Consider the following 17,929-nt stretch of genomic DNA (forward strand, 5'->3'; position numbering starts at 1 on the left):
GCTCATACTTCTAATGATCTCAAAGCACTTAGGCACTTCAGTTAAACATCTCACTTTACAGAATCAGGCAGAGAGAAGAGCAAGACTCCTATTTAACTTTATTCCCCATGCCTCATCACAAGTATGTAGCAAATGTTTCTAAAATTATTTGAGCTATAATCATATAGGCTTTTGCCTTCATTTATAAAAGAAAGACAAAAACCCAAAACTAGATGCTTTGTCACTGTCACCAAGGACCTAACGAAAAGGCACATGGTGGAAGGAGGGAGAGTGGTAACCTAGGTTTAGGTCTAAGGGGACTCTTGCTTGCTGTCAGCACCTGGTACAAATACCAAGATAGGGTTTTTGGGGCCACATTTTCCATTTGAGGGAGTTCCTACTCACCTCCACTGATCTGTGGAACACTGAAATAGCAGGAGTCACTAATTTGCCTGCTTTTGGATGTTGCTGAATTCAGCATCGTCTTGAAAAGTTCTTGCCGAATCATACATTCAGATGAAAGATGTTTTAGATATTAAACTTGACATTTGGGATATATGGAAAGATAGAACCAGGTGATGGTGGGTGAACAGGGAAAGTAGAACCCAGCAGTTGTCATCCTGATCTTTTGAGGATATGAATCAAATCTATTTATTTCTAAGAAATGCCATCCTGATGTACTCCTTTGTCCATCAGCCCAGTAGGAAGTTTGACAAGGAGTATTGGGGAGTTCACATACTAATTCATTCCCCAGACATTTGTTGGATGAATAATGTCTGAAAAATAGGGTATCTTGGCTGTATTCCTTACAGATGACGGGTTATCTCCTTTCCCCAGGGTCACTTAAGGAAGAGTGGATGATAGTGATCAGAGCTTAAAGGTGTTGGTCTACACCAGTGCTGCCACGAAGTCAGGAGTTTGAGACCAGTCTATAGTGCTGGTGTAGACCAACACCTGTATATAATGTTTATTTTCAAGTTCATTTGTACCACTAAATACTGTCTCTGATGGGGGCCACTAGGGCTCTATTTGTGATTAGAAATCCTATTGTTGAGAATTATTACTGTGTCCTGGGTTAGAGAGAATAGATATGAGGGCTAGCTCCTCCTCTTGAATGTTCATGGGAAACTGTCATGCTTGGCTTTAGCAAATCCAGAATGTGTCTACCTGCCTTTTTTGGCCAATTGCCATTATTCCCCCCAGTAAGATATTTGAATAGGGGAAATAATGGGTGGATTTTATGACCATTTCATGTCTGGTCAGTTTCTTTTCCTACATGAAAGGATGAAGTGGGGACTCTTCATGTAAAGCCACAGAGTCGGAAGCCCCGAGGAAGAAATTCAGCTTGGTCCTCTGAATCTGGGATTGAGAACAACAAACTGAGGCACCATACCCTCTATTTCCTGTAGTATAGGAAATTGCTGATAATTAATAATTTTAGCATTGAACTTATTCAAGTCCAGTAAAATTTTCTTAGGATCTGCTCAGGGATCTGCCTCTCCTAAATTCTTGGGTTACTTTTGTTATTCATTATGGATATGTGACTGATTAATCAGCTAAGCTGTTTTTGAAGTCATTTTAACTTTTGTTCTGTATTATCCTTTAGGAATATGAGTACCATTAGTACTTTGTGATGTCTACAGGAGTACTTCCTTTTCATTTGTCCTGTGGTGTCTGAAGGAGAACTTTCTTTTATCTTTCCTGTATTAGTTCACGTTATACTGTGAGGTTTGCAACTCAGGTCTAAATACAGGATTTGGGAAAGATGTTCCTGTCTCTCAATTCAGTCTTTGTGATTTTATGTACATATATGCCTGAATATTAGATAAGGAATTTTCCCACTCAGATTATGCTGCTGGAAAGAGAAGTCACTTCATATTCAAATCTTTCTCAAGTCTTTTGTATTGTAGAATGATCTTCATTGTGAACGGCATTATTTGGTCAGCTATCCAAATAGTATGTGAGTGTGTACTTATGGCTTGGAATATTTTTCTGGATCAAAACTATATGTAGTAATCTGGATTTATGCACCATAATTTCTATTTTTTGCCTAAGAGTGGAAGGTTGCTACATGCTCATATAGTACTTAAAATAATTTATGTTTTGCTGTCTGCAGATATATATTAGAAACTAGCTATATTCTTGTTGGTAGAGAATAGGGCAATTAGTTGACCTTTGTTCATATAAGCTTTGATAGTGGGATGTCTTGGCTTTGTTCCTTGTAGATGATGGGTTATTTCCTCTCCCCAGGCTCACTTAAGGATGGGTGGGTGGTAGTGATCAGGAATTAAAGAGTGACTAGTGTTGCCTCTGGTGTAGACCCACACTTTTATATAAAATCATTTTCAAGTTCAAACCTCTAAAGGCTGTGTCTGATGAGGGCCACTTAAGGCTCTGTTTCTTAGAAATCCTATTGTTGATGAAAAGGCTGTAAGAAGACCTGTCCAACTTAATTCTTGATCCTAGCTAGTCACTTAATGACAATCATGTGGCCTGTAAATGAGATAAGACATTTCTTTTTACTCAATTAAGATAAAGAAGAAACCTCTTTACAGGTTATATGTTAATGCACACACATCTTAATACAATCATGTATTTCTACTACATAGAAAAGCAATAAGAGCCCGAACTTAGAATTGTATAAGGAGGTATTTGTGTCATATACTGGACTCTGAATCATTTGTGGACTACGATTTTATAAACACTCTAAAAAAATATAAAACGTGTCGATGAACTACTGTGTACCTAAAGTTACATTATTTTTCATTAAATAAAATTCTATATACACACACTAATATTCACAGTTCTCATAATAGTATGGTTATATTATGTTGAAACTCGTCCTTCTTAAAGATTATTTTGTTTTGTAGACATGTAGGAACTTTCCTAGAAAATCTGTATCCAGTTTTTTTCTGTGCCATTTTGAATTAGAAACTCCCTAAAGAAGAATAAATTAACTTTGCATTTTCTTTCATTTTTTTAGGATCTGAGAATGTGTATGTGTCTGAGGCTACCTCTGTGTCTAAAAGCAGAGCATGCTTAAAACCATGGCTGAGGAGTTATGCTTAACGGTATACTTTGCATGCATTTGTGATTTGAAATAGGAAAAAAAGTCAAATTTGAGACAGCTTGAATGGCATGCTGTCAGTTTGGAGCTTCATGAATTGGCAATGGTCTCATTTAGGACCTTCAGATGTGTCTCTGCCTGGACAGAATGAGAACATTTTGCATGTTCAGAAGGAGACAGCCACTCCTTGCTGCTTCACAATAGGCAGTGGTGCATGACAGTTGCCCTTCATTGCTGGCTTCTTGGAGCTTAACCTCTGACCCTCCACTTAGTCACTGTGCAGCAGTTGGAGCAGGTTGGAGATGTTGGTGAATGACAGGCATTGGCCTGCAACATGCTTGTCATTATTTGACTGTCAAAAGGAGCCTGCCATTGGTTTCCATCAAGGTTTGAAACCTCTGTGCAGCAGTCCATATTACTTAACTTCCAAGGCTGTCAACAGGATGATCAAATGTGCATAAAAAAATCAGAGTGCTGAATATATCTTCAATCAGGAGAAAGAAGTTTCCCCTCTTCTTTTCTTTCTTTCTTTCTCTCTTTCTCTTTTTATTTTTCTTTTGGCTAAATATATTCAGATGACTTTCACAGGGCCAAGAGGTTGAATCTGTTGCTCCAGTGAGAAAAGTGAACTGTTGTCTCAAGTGGTCTAAGTTTCAAATAGCACAATTTAAATCTGAGCAGCTCTGCTGGCTAAATTCTCTGACTTGTCTGGCATATTCTATCAGCTTTCAGCTGTTAGTTTAAGGGACTAGATGCTAGTCCAGTGGTGCCTGGTGTTAGCTCACAGGATAAAACGTTTACTTTGGTCTCTATGTAGTGTTGCAAAGGGATGCAGACGTCTGTGTATGTGACTGCGAATGAAAGGGATGATTTTGGATGTATGATTACTATCTCATTTAAGACTCTTTTTTCCACATGGTAGGGTTCAAACTGGAATTTTAAGTGATCTGATCAAGTCTTAGAAACTTAACAGGTCAGTCTTATGCAATTTATTTTTTAGACATAGAAAAATATGACAGCAAAAGCCATTTTTTTTCTTGTAAATTTGAAACTTTGGTTTGAAAAGCATCTTGAAGTGGAAGAGGATGAACCTAACAGTATTCTGGAAGTGTATGGAAAGTGTTGGTTTGCTTCTAACATTGTGCAGTGGATGGTGTGGGAGTCACGAGACCTGAGTTTTAGTTTTGCTTCTGCCATTTTCCAGCAGTGTCACTGTGTGTAAGTCACTGAACCCCTTAGTCTCAGTTCTTCATATGGAAAAATAGAGATACTAATATGGTGAGGATGGAAGGAGGTACTGTTTGTAAAGTACTTGCTTTTGTTAAGTACTGTAGTCACTCAGTAGGCATTCCCTGATCTCCTTTTTATCCTTTTCTTTTACATCCAGTGTTAGCAGGAAAGACATCAAACAGTAGTAAGGGGCCAGGTACAGTGGTTCATGCCTGTAATTCCAGTGCTTTGGGGGGCTGAGGTGGGAGGATTTGAGGCTGGAAGTTCTACACCAGCCTGGGTAACATAGTGAGACCCTGTCTCTACATGAAATTAAAAAATTAGTCAGGTGTGGTGGTGTGCACCTGTAGTCCTAGCTACTTGGGAGGCTGAGGCAGGGGGATCCCTTGAGCCCAGGAGTTTGAGGTTACAGTGAGCTATGATCACGCCATTGCACTCCAGCCTGGGCAACAGTGCTAGACCCTGTCTCTTAAAAAAAAAAGTCAGAAGACAATACTTGAGCTGAATAAACATTCCAGAGCCTGACACAGTCAATCGTTGTGTTCCAACTCTTTTCTTCTCCCATAGTTCTGATTCTTGCTTATGACATCACGTTTTAGTCAAGCACTCAAACTACCAATCTGAGTAGGCTGCCTGCCTTCCTTTTTTCTCCTTCCCTTCCTTCCATTCATTCATTCACTCAACAGATATTTATAGAGCTCCTACTATGTGCCAGGCCCTGGTCTAAGTTCTAGGATACAGCCATGAACTAGATAGGTATCATTTGGCTATCATTAGGTATCTGGAGAGAGAGACAAAAAATAAACAAACAAATAATGACTTTTTGATAGTTCTAAATACTATTAAAAAATTAGTGTAAGAGGATAAAGAGTTATTTTGGTTGGTCACAGAAGAGCTTTCACTGTAGAGTTCTTTCCAGCAGAGAACTGTTTGAAGGAAGGAGAGGGCCCTGGGAAGATGGGGACAGTCTTCCAGACAAAAGGGGACCATACTTCTTTTTTTTTTTTTTTTGTCAGGGAGTCTCGCTCTGTCACCCAGACTGAAGTGCAGTGGTGTGATCTTGGCTTATAGCAACATCTGCCTCCTGGGTTCAAGTGATTCTCCTGCCTCAGCCTCCAAGTAGCTGGGACTACAGATGCCCACCATCATGACTGGTTTTTTTTTTTGTATTTTTAGTAGAGACAGGGTTTCACCATGTTGGCCAGGCTGGTCTCGAACTCCCGACCTCAAGTGATCCGCCCACCTTGGCCTCCCAAAGTGCTAGGATTACAGGTGTGAGCCACTGTGCCTGGCCAGGAGGCTGCACTTCTGTCTCCTGCTCCTCATCCAGTTAGTCACCTTTGTCCTAATGTCTTTCCTTCTTTCATCTCTTCATCTTCAGGCCACTGCTGTGTTCAGCCCCTTTAGATTTCCGTAGGCTCTTGGCCTGTTTCCATTCCACCCACTTCTACCTTGCCATCTTAAAAAATGTAAAATGGGCCAGGAGCCGTGGCTCATGCCTGTAATCCTAGCACTTTGGGAGGCCGAGGTGGGCAGATCACAAGGTCAGGAGATGGAGACCATCCTGGCCAACATGGTGAAACCCTGTCTGTATTAAAATACAAAAAATTAGCTGGGCTTGGTGGTGCGTGCCTGTATTCTAGCTACTCGGGAGGCAGAGGCAGGCTTGAACCTGGGAGGTGGAGATCTCGCCACTGCACTCCAGCCTGCGTGACAGACTGAGACTCCGTATCGGGGGGAAAAAAAAAGTAAAATGACCGTGTCACTCCACTGTTCACAATTTCGTGGAGATTTGCCACTGGCTGCATGTTAAAATTCAGACTCCTGGGCTTGCTGTATAGGTTCCTGTTTTTTCAGCCTTATTTATTGTCAGCTGGTAACCACGCCCCCAACCCCCAGCTTTCACCCCCATAATTTATACCTTATACTCCTACTGTTGGAAAGTGGTGACCCCTGAACATATGCCTCTGTCCTTTTCTCTTTCTAGACTCTTCTCCTCCCTTCTCATTGGCACCTAGAGAATGATGTATCTTTCAACAATGTCCACAAATGCCACCTCTTCTGAGACTTCTGTGATTCTGCCATCCTCAATGTTGTGTACACTTCCTTAGCTTTCCCCTCACTATAGCTGTTTGTCCATTACTTTCTCAGTCCCTGAGCTCTTTGAAGGCAAGAACTGCGCTTTTATTCCTCTCTTGTAATTGCAATATCTGGCTGAGTGTCTGGCATACAACAAGCACTTTATAAACTGTCACCTGTGATAGCCTAATCTTTAGAAATATTTAGGGATAGATTTATCATGGACTTCAAATGTAGATATAATCAGATTGGACAGTATACATTTTGAAGAGCTCTTCAGTCAAAATATTCCATGATTGATAGAGAGACTTCTTTCCTTAGGCCTAATTTAAATAAATATCATATTGAAAGGAGAGTGATGCATGAAAACATTAGAAACTAATAGAAATATTATATATACTAACTTCCCAAGAACACCAGGATATAGTGTCACTGAGCAAGTTAGCTTCAGATAAACTTTTATGTTGCTTTTTTTTTCTATAATCCAACATGTGATGTATCTTTTTTCAAAGAAGATAGTATTAAATTTTGTATTTCAATTCAGTAAGTAAATTTCATATTTTTTCTATCCATCCATTTATCTCTACATTTTTCCAATTATACTGTATAGCATTGTCATGATTTTTTTTGTAGTTTTCATTATTTTAGAAGGCTTTTTTTTTTGAGACAGGGTCTCACTCTCCTTGCCTAGGCTGAAGTGCAGTGGCACGATCATGGCTCACTGCAGCCTCAACTTCCCAGGCTCAGGTGATCCTCCCAACACAGCCTCGTGAGTAGCTGGGACTACAGGTGTGCACCACCATGCCCGGCTAATTTTTTGTATTTTTAGTAGAGACTTGGTTTCGCTATTATTGCCCAGGTTGGTCTTGAACTCCTGGGCTCAAGCGATCTGCCTGCCTTGGCCTCCCAAAGTGCTTGGATTACAGGCATGAGCCACCGAGCCCAGCCTATTAGAAGCAATTTAATGCCAAACCACAGTAGATTTGTCATATGAATAGAATAATTTATTTAAATAGTTTCCTCTATTGTTGACCAATTAGCTTGTTTCATTTATTTTATCAGCATAAATAATGCTGTGTTGAGTCAGTGGGTTTAAACATTTGTATGTGCATTTTTAAATGAATAAATTCCTAGAAACAGAACAACGGAGTTAAAGATAGGGATTTTTTAAGGCTCTTGATGCATATTGCCAAGTTGCCTTATGGAAAAGGTGTCCAGATGTTTGTAGAGATAGGTTGTAAAAAGGATCCTGCATTAGAATGTGTTTCTTAGATTACTTGTATGTGAATTTGGGATCTAACTGGGAATTTTATATTTGAGAGGACATTGGAGAGTTCAGTAATGGGCATAAAGAGAAGAAAGAGATAGAAGGAAAGGAAGAACAAAATCTAGTTTTGAACTTCTCAAATGGTGTGTAGGCTGTGGTTTAGTGATTTTCAGACTGTGTCCTGGCTACCTATAGGGATCTGCTTCTCCAGGTGGGGGCCTGAGAACAGCTTAGCTTCTGTTGATGTATTTGTTTATACTTTTGGATAAAAGTTCCTTCATATTAATACTTCCAAATTTGAAAAGTTTGAAAGCCACTTGGTAGGTCTCTATGTTTACTACTATCATTTTCAGACACATGATTCAAAAGGGAATTATCTTGTTCATGCCTCTGTTGTTTGAGATGTCAGCCTCCTAGTTCATTGTTACCTTCTTTTTTTAAAATTTAATTTAATTTAATTTAAATTTTTTGACATGGAGTCTCACTCTGTAGCCCAGGCTGGAGTGCGGTGGCATATCGGCTCACTGCAACCTCCGCCTGCCGGGTTCAAGTGATTCTCATGCCTCAGCCTCCCGAGTAGCTGGGACTACAGGACTACAGGCCTGCGCCACCACGCCCAACTAATGTTTGTACTTTTTTTTTTTTTTTTTGAGACGGAGTCTCCCTCTTTTGCCCAGGCTGGACTGCAGTGGCACTATCTCGGCTCACTGCAAGCTCCTCCTCCTGGGTTCACGCCATTCTCCTGCCTCAGCCTCCCGAGTAGCTGGGACTACAGGCTGTTTGTACTTTTTGTAGAGACAGGGTTTCACCATGTTGGCCCGGCTGGTCTCAAACTCCTAACCTTAGATAAACCGCCCACCTCGGCCTCCCAAAGTGCTGGGATTACAGGCGTGAGCCACCGCGCCCCAGCCCTCATTGTGGCCTTATTTTTTTTTTTTTTTTTTTTTTTTTGAGACGGAGTCTCGCTCTGTCGCCCAGGCTGGAGTGCAGTGGTGCGATCCCGGCTCACTGCAAGCTCTGCCTCCGGGCTTCATGCCATTCTCCTGCCTCAGCCTCCTGAGTAGCTGGGACTACAGGCGCCCGCCACCACGCCCGGCTAATTTCTTTTTGTATTTTTAGTAGAGACAGGGTTTCACCATGTTAGCCAGCATGGTCTCGATCTCCTGACCTCGTGATCCACCTGTGTTGGCCTCCCAAAGTGCTGGGATTACAAGCATGAGCCACCATGCCTGGCCCATTGTGGTCTTCTTAAAGGAACCATGTTGCTAACCCGAATGAGAGAGGAGTAACCTCCTGAATTAGGAGTTGTTACTGCACTTTACAAATATCCTGTTACCTCCTTCACCTCTGTATGGTTAAGGAAATGTGGTATCAAGTCACTTTCCAGTTCCTACTTCAGTGTGGGAACTGTGAAGTATCTTTTAGGCAAAGTAGAGGTTAAGGCACCTTAAGGGCAGGAACTTCTTATCTTGCTTTTATTAGCAGTCGTGTCAACATGCACTAAAATGTGATGACCCACTTTCCCTTCTGATAAAAGGAGAATGACCTGCTTGGCATGGATGGAGAGAGGTGCCTGAGGCAGATTACATTGTTACCGCTCATAATAACAGTAGGCATAAAGGAGGGGGGTGGTGGAAAGGCCAGCAGATTTCTGTTTACCCATGGAAATGTTTGACGTTTTTGGCTTCTGATGAAATGTGCTAAGAAGAGGGGGAAAAAGGAGCATTGTAGCAGGGGAAGGAATGAATGAGTAAGGAAAAGAAGGAATCTGGCATCAGGGAAGGAATGAATGAGTAAGGAAAAAAGGGAATCTGGTGTCATGTGAGACATGTGAAGCCACGAAGGGCCTTAAATCCCAGCCCTGTAGCCATCTATTGGCAGAGCCTTAAGACCTCAAACCATAGAGGGAGCCCCCCTTTTCTGTCTTTTTAAATTTAACCTATATTTGTTTAGAGCCAAGATCTCTGACATGGCTTGGCTGACTTTTCTAAAGATGAACTGAGGCCAGGCACAGTGGCTCACGCCTGTTATCCCAGCACTTTGGGAGGCCGAGGCGGGAGGATCACCTGAGGTCAGGAGTTCGAGACTAGCCTGCCAAACATGGCGAAACCCCTGTCTCTACTAAAGATACGAAAAATTAGCCAGGTGTGGTGGTGGGTGCCTGTAATCTCAGCTACTCGGGAGGTTGAGGCATGAGAATCACTTGAACCTGAGAGGCGGAGGTTGCAGTGAGCCGAGATCGCACAACTGCATTCCAGCCTGGGTAACAAGAGCAAAACTCCGTCTCCAAAAAAAGAAAAAATAAAAAAGAAGAAGAAGATGAGCTGAATACAGGGCGACCTGTACAGTTGATAGGCTCTGAGGAGATATCAACACGGAAAATTAGGGACGTAATTACCCACTCCTCAATGAAGGAGGATTCTTCTCAGTTAAGTTTATTTACTTACTTGGCTTTGAGACCAGAGTCTGATAACTCTGGGAAAAAGTTGTAGTTATTTTGAGATGGTCGATATAATTTAAGGCTTTTTTAAGAGAGTAATTGTGTGGTTTAACCTGTCATCTTGAAATATGAATTATACAGAGATAACATTAAAAAAGGTTATATGTGACATTTCTAGGTGTCTCAGAAAAAGATTTGAGTTTGTCTCATGTCTACCATGGCAACACTCTTGAGTTATTATAAAGAACATTATATAAGGATTTCCTCTAGAATTTTTAAATCTTAAAATGTAACTTACTTTAGCCAGAATAAAAAGAGGTTTAAATTAATGGAAAACTGACTGGAAGGAAGATATAAAACAAGAAACAATAACACAACAAAACTTCACTAAAGTACACAATTCTACAAATTATGCACACAAGCACACACATTTTACAAATTGAGGGTATTTGTAGAAATTCAACTCTCATTTGAATCAACTCATGACAAAACGTATTTACAAAGTAAGTAGAATGGAAAAGTACCAAAAAAGCATTTCTTGGGTTAATGGTATTACCCAGGTCAAATCCATTAAGGAAATTCTCTGCCAGACCTTTTCTTTTTTCTTAAGACATGAAGTTTTGCACTTGTTAGTATAATTTGGGAGTGGTCAAGAAGCTAGGTGATAGAACAACTTCAGATTCTGGATTTCTGGTCTATTATTTGGTTTTTTTTATGAATAAGAGATTCACTCTTTTCTTTAAAGGAAGTAATTTAGATTCCTAGCACTGTCATTTCTGTTCTGAATGTTATAAACTCTCTGTACAAAATTTGAAAGGAACAGACATGCTCTGATGATGTACAGAATCTTAATGTTTCAAAAACGATAGTTCTCTTCCCCTAGAATAGAAAAGTATAGCGTTCACCTGATTGCAGATCCCAAATGTCTACATCTGTGGTTGGGTGGCCAATATCACATGAAAGAGTTTTGTGCCTTTTTGCTCAATATATAAGTTTGAAAAATGTTGGCTGCAAGTAACAGAATTTCCATGTAACAGTGGATTAAACAGTAATGACATGACTTTTCCCACATCATAAGCTGTCTGGAAGGAGGAAGTTCTCATGGAACAGTGGCTTAATGATACAGTCAAATGCAGGTACTTTCCAGTTTTCTGCTCTGCCATTCTTCAGCACGTTGGCTTTTTCGTCTTTTGACTTGTAACCTAGTGATCACTGGGTTATAACAGTGCCAGGTATCATGTCCTCATGTAACTGTGTTCAGGGTAGGAAGAAGAGGATGGGAAGATAAAAGAGAGTTTTTATATTAGGAGGGAAATCCTTCCTGTAAGTCCCCTAGCACACTCCTTATTATGTCCTATTGGCCAGATCTGGATTTGTTGGTCATTCCTAGTTGCAAGGGAGACTGGGAAAAGAAGTGTCTGGCAAAAGGGAATGCGATTCCTACGCTTGGCTTAGAGAGCTCATGATCCATTCCTTGGAACTGGGCTCATGGCTGCCCCTGTTAGCAGGGAAGCAGAATGAATAGCTGTTGAGTAGGCAGCCAATGGCTTCTGCCATACTCAATTAATGTGTGACTGGAAATGAGATTTTTATCTTTTGTTCCACACTGGCCAAGGGATATGGCCTCTGTTACCATGTAATATAACCCTTTGAGACAAATACATTTAAGACCAGAATTGGAACTTTGAATTATCCATCCAATACATTTAATTAGCACTGACAGTGTTCTAGGTTATTGCTAGACACAGGAGATACTGCAGTGAATAAGATGGACAGTCTCTGAACTCATAGGGTTGATAGTCTAGTAGGACTGAGAGATTAGGAAGTAGTTTCAGTAGATATGGGGAAGGCACAGTTTGCTGTGCGGTGAATGCAAATCAGCTAACATGGACTCGGAGAGTCAGGGAGGGCCTCTTGGAGGAGGCTACATCCTCGCTGACTCCAGAGACACAGGATTCAGCTAATCTCAGAAAATGATGAGTTGATCACCCTCCTTTTTTAGGTATTCTTGGAAATCCAAGCAAAAACAAATCTGCTCTTAATGTGGAAACTGTGGCAACTTGAGAATTTTATGTGCTTCACGGAGTGAGTAATTCCAGCAGCAGCTCAGGAAGCAGCATAGCAGAGTGTAAATGGCATTGTCTTTGAAGCCTAGTTGGATAAGCTTTCTGCCTCAATCTATCTGTGTAAGGAACAGGGTTTCTCTGAAGGTATCTTTGAAATACTCTACCATCAGTTCATATTTCTACTTTCACCTAAGTCAATATTGAATCCTCTTTGGAAATCTTGGGGTCATCCTTCCTTTCTGTCACCTTCTATCTTCAGTCACCAAGTCTTTCTGTCTGTTAGCAGCTCTAAAATCTGACCCTTCCTTCTCCTTCTTACTGCCTCTGCTTTAGTTTCTTACTCTATAAAATGGAGATAATATATCACTGTGTAGATGCCATAATACAAATAGCAAGCTCTTATGGCACTAATAATTTTTTAATACATGTTAACCATATGAATAGGTCTTATTATTATTATGTCCATTTTATGGATGGAGAGGTTAAGTAATGTGTTCAAACTGCTCCAGCTAGCAGCTGGTAGAGTTGAGGGTTTGAATATAGGCTGAACATCTGGCTCCTGAATCTGTCCTCTGCATTGTACTGAGAACCCTGTATCGTACCGAGGTACGTCATCTGTGTTCTTCTGTACTCTCCTATTTTGGGCTAAACCAGGTCAAACTCCTATCTTAGTGTCTTTGAAATGCTCAAACCTGCACGTTGTGCACATGTACCCTAGGACTTAAAGTATAATTAAAAAAAAAAAAAAAGCTCCACCATCAATCTGTAGTTTCTGCCCTCACCCAAGTCAATATCGAGTTCTCTCTGGAAATCTCGGGGTCATCCTTCCTTTCTGTCACCTATCTTCTGTCACTCACCAAGTCTTTCAATCTGTCAGCAGATCTGAAATCTGACCCCTCCTTCTCATTTCCACTGCCTCTGCTTAAGTTTAGGGTGTCTCAAAATACCTCCTTCCAGCACAGTTGCAATAGTCTCAGAACTAATGTTCTTGCCTCTATTTTTCCCTTCTCCCCAACATCCTCTCTTTTTGCCAATTTCTGTTTCACATTGCTGACAAGTGGTTTTTCTTATTATTTAACTCTGGTTTGACTTTGATTCAATGTAGGTCTTAAATGTATCCCTTTTGGCTGTAGGATAAAAGGCCAAGTGCCACAGGTTTCCAGAGCACTATCTGACGTAACCAGCGTCTCCTCCCAGTTCTGACACTTTCCATCTCCCCGCTACCAGCTCCATCTATTTGCTGTGTAGTTTGTCAGGGATGCTGTCTTCCATACTCATTCCCCTCCCCCAGATTTATGTGGGGGAACTCCTTTTTAAGATTTAGCTCTAAAGTTTCTGCCTCTGCAAATCCTTCCCTTCCATTGTGCCCATTTATCACTTCAGCTTCTGGTCACTTTGTACTTGGCCATTGCGTTGGTATACTTGGTGTCTCTTTGATGGTGAGTCCTTGGAAGGCAGGAACCCTGTGTGCGCCTGTTTCTGCAGAGCACAGTGCAGTTTCTGCTAACAGAGGGCCTATCATAATACTTATGGAAGGGTTGATTGATGTCCTGAGAGTATGTTTTTAATTTTGCATGGTGGACACATTTTATATATTTATCTGTGGGAAGGAGATTCATGAATAAGTGTGTATATATCTCTATATACATACACACATATACAATCATGCATTGCTTAATGACAAGGATACATTCTGAGAAATGCATTGTTAGGCAGTTTCATCATGTGAACGTCATAGAGTGCACTTACACAAACCTAGATATGGTATAGCCTATTCTCTACTGCATCAGTACAGTTGCTGTTTCGTACAGTAACTTGCTATACAAGTAACTTGCTATACATTACTGTACTGAATACTGTAGGCAATTGTAGCACAATGGTAAGTATTTGTGTATCTAAACATATAAAAGGTGCAGTCAAAATACATTATTGTAATCTTATGGAAGTACTGTTGTATATGCGGTCCGTTGTTGTCTGAAATACCATTCTGCAATGCAAGACTGTGCATATGTGGATGTAAGAAGGATGCTCCTTGTCACCCAGCAGTAATATGAGCCATCACTTATTTTGCCTGTATAGTGCCCTCTTGGGAAACATGTTTATTGGCTCCCTTAGATTAACTTTATGACGAGAGAGTATGTACCCTTCACTCTACTCCTCCCCCCAGCCTACCCAATTAAAGATGACTAGTCTTTTAAAAATAGCGTTATTGAGATATAACTTACATCATATAAATGGAATCATACCGTGTGTGGTCTTTGTGACTGGCTTCTTCCACTTAGCATGATGTTTTCAAGGTTCATCTATGTTGTAGAATGTATAAGTTCTTTCTTTCTTTTTTTTCTTTTTTGAGACAAGGTTTCGCTCTGTCACCCAGGTTAGAATGCAGTTGCACAATCGTAGCTTTTTTTTTTTTTTTTTGAGATGGAGTTTTGCTCTTGTTGCCCAGGCTGGAGTGCAATGGCGTGATCTCAGCTCACAGCAACCTCCGCCTCCTGGGTTCAAGCGATTCTGCCTCAGCCTTCCGGGTAGCTGGGATTACAAGCATGCGCCACCACGCCCAGCTAATTTTGTATTTTTAGTAGAGACGGGGTTTCTCCATGTTGGTCAGGCTGGTCTCGAACTCCCCACCTCAGGTGATCTGCCCACCTCAGCTTCCCAAAGTGTTGGGATTACAGACATGAATTTCTTTTAACTTTTTATAGAGATGAGGTCTGGCTATGTTGCCTAGGCTGTTCTTGAACTCCTGGTGTCAGGCAGTCCTCCCTCCTCGGCCTCCCAAAGTGCACGGATTACAGGCAATACTTTATTTATTTTTATGGCTGAATAATATTCCATTATATGGACACATCCCACGTTATCTCATTCATTAGTTGATGGACATTGGGTTGTTTCCACTTTTTGGCTATTATGAAAAACGCTTCTATAAACATTTGTAAGGAGGTTTTTGTGTGGCCATATGTTTTCATTTCTCTTGAGCATATACCTGGAAGTGGAATTGCTGGGTCATATGGTAAGTCTATGTTTGGCAGTTTTTGAGGAACTGCCAAACTGTTTTCCAGAGTGACATTCCCACTAGAAATGTATTAGAGTTCCATTTTCTCTACACCCTTGCCAACACTTGTTATTGTCTATATAACACCATGTCACATTCCCACTGGCAGTGTATTAGAGTTCCAGTTTCTCTACATCTTTGCCAATACTTGTTATTGCCTATTTAAAAAAAATTTTTTTTTTGAGATAGGGTCTCACTCTGTCACCCAGGCTGGAGTGCAGTGGCAAGATCATGATTCACTGGAGCCTCAACCTCCGGGGCTCAAGCAGTCTTTCCACCTCAGCCTCCTGAGTAGCTGTAACCACAGGTGTGCTTTTAAAAAATTTTTTGTAGAGATAGGGTCTCCCCATATGTTGCCCAAACTGGTCTCAAACTCCTGGGCTCAAGTGATCCTCCAGCCTCGGCTGCCCAAACTGCTGGGATTACAAGTGTGAGCCATCGCAATCTGGCCCTTGTCTGTCTTTTTAATCTTTCTCATTTGATTCTTATAATTCTATTAGCCAAAGAAAAATATTCTTACTATTACTATTTATTTATTTATTTATTTGAGACGGAGTCTCGCTCTGTCGCCCAGGCTGGAGTGCAATGGCACGATGTCGGCTCACTGCAAGCTCTGCCTCCTGGGTTCACACCATTCTCCTGCTTCAGCCTCCCCAGTAGCTGGGACTATAGGCGCCCGCCACCACACCTGGCTGTTTTTTTTTTTTTTTTCTATTTTTAGTAGAGATGGGGTTTTACCGTGTTAGCCAGGATGGTCTTGATCTCCTGACCTTGTGATCCGCCCGCCTTGGCCTCCCAAAGTGCTGGGATTACAGGTGTGAGCCACTGTGCCTGGCCTACTATTACTTTTTAGATGAAAACCCCAAGGCAACAGACAGATTAAATGAGATGCCTCATATATGTGTGAATGGAAAGAAAGAAGTGGTGTGGATAATTCAAAACCACAGATTATCCAAAAGTAATTTAAAAGTTTTTGAATCAAACACTAAAGTATGTTTGATGTTGGAGATCATATTTCCCACTCCCACGTTAAAAGACAATTAGTATGATTGTATCTTTTTTGTCTGTGTTTTTTTTTAATCATTGAGGTATAATTCTCCTAATATAAAATGAACCATTTTAAAGTGTTTGAAATGATTACTCTGAGGATGCCTATTTTTTAGTGATTGTAATAGTTATATTGTCTTCAAAAATATTTGCATGTACTTAAAAACACTTAAAAAATAGAAGCAGTATAAAGTTTGATCTCCCAAGGAGCCATCATAGATCTATAGAGGGAACAAGAATAGAAGTACCACGAGGCAAACTGGAAGTCACTTGTTTTAAAGTAATTAAGATAACCATGTTGACTTTTATCCATACTTTATGTATAGCCTTTTCAAAATTAGAAGGCTGTGTCTTCCTTGTTATTCTGACATGAATATTTAGCAGTGCCATCTGTAACCCTAGGATCATATGGTAAATGTTAACAAGAAGCACCAGAACTTGTGTTTTCCCTGTCCTATTGTTTTTCTACAAGAATGCTGACAGCTAGAGTGGCTTTGTGACATTGTGCCCACAAAGCTGAATATTACATGTGTAGTTACCTGGGTAGGTGTAGAGTGTATTTTTTTTAAAGAGCAGGACATAGTGACTGGATGTCATCAGTTACATCTGTTTTATCGTACTAAAAATTTTACGTATATTTTGAAAACAGTTGCAAATTAGAATTTTCTAACTTGTATCTTCATGTTACGTTCCTGCTAAGTGAAGAAAATATTTTCTGAAAATATGAAACTTGTAATGTGCATACAGGATTGAAAATGTGCTGATAGAATATTTTCTGGTTTTTCTTGCCTTTCTGCTCAGTGTGTCATAATCTTATTTTTTGAGGGAAAACATGCACATTTTACAGTAGGTTCTCCCCATCTGTTTCAATTCTTCATCTTGTAATGCTTCCTTTCAAATAGCTACATGATTACCTTCCAGTTTAGGGGCACTGAAAATGTTATCTCTGGCTCAGTTGACAGTTTTTATTGATGATCTGGTGGGAACCAGGTCTGTGGCTTTTTCAGCACATTTCAATGTCCCAATACCACACAAGAAGCTTTTCTCTCTCCCCTGCACACCCCAGATGAATACAACTTTACTGTATATTCTAATAATAAAATACATAACCATAAATTAAGACAAGGCTGAAAGGTTTAAAGAAGAAAGTAAAAGTCAACCTTAATTTTACTTTCCAAACAACATAATCACTCCGGACATTTTGGCCTGTAACAGGGGTCAGCAAACTATTGTCTGTGGGCCACATCTGGCCTGCCACTTGTTTTTTAATCGACCTTGAGCTGAGAATGGTATTTACATTTTTGAATAGTTGAAAAACATTAAAGTAACAGTAACATTTTGTCACATGAGAAAATTGATATGAAATTTAAAATTGTTTCCCCAAATAAAGTTTTATTGAAACATAGCCATGCTCATTCATTTACATATTATCTAGACTGCTTTCATGCTAAAATGGCAGGTTTAGTAGTTAGTTATAGGCCTTCAAAGCCTGACGTGTTCATTATTACTATCTGGACCTTTATAGAAAAAAAATCTGCTGACCCTTGGTCTATACCCTTCAAGACTTTTTCTGTGCATTTGCGTGTGTGTGTTTACATTTTGAAACAATGAGGTTATTCTATGTGCTTTTGTAATTTACCCTTTTTGCTGAATAGTGTTTACAAGTAACTTCTATTGCATTGTTTGTTTATTCCATTGG

At 40.3% G+C, this 17,929-nt stretch overlaps 1 protein-coding gene across 25 annotated transcripts in view; it reads left to right on the top strand.

Annotated features, from left to right (window-relative positions):
- FTO (FTO alpha-ketoglutarate dependent dioxygenase) overlaps positions 1-17,929 on the top strand; it is a 417,979-nt gene that overhangs the window by 19,531 nt on the left and 380,519 nt on the right. The gene's annotated exons all lie outside the window — the stretch shown is intronic.

The sequence above is a fragment of the Homo sapiens genome, chromosome 16, assembly GCF_000001405.40.
Source record: "Homo sapiens chromosome 16, GRCh38.p14 Primary Assembly".
Classification (NCBI taxonomy): Eukaryota; Metazoa; Chordata; class Mammalia; order Primates; family Hominidae; genus Homo; species Homo sapiens.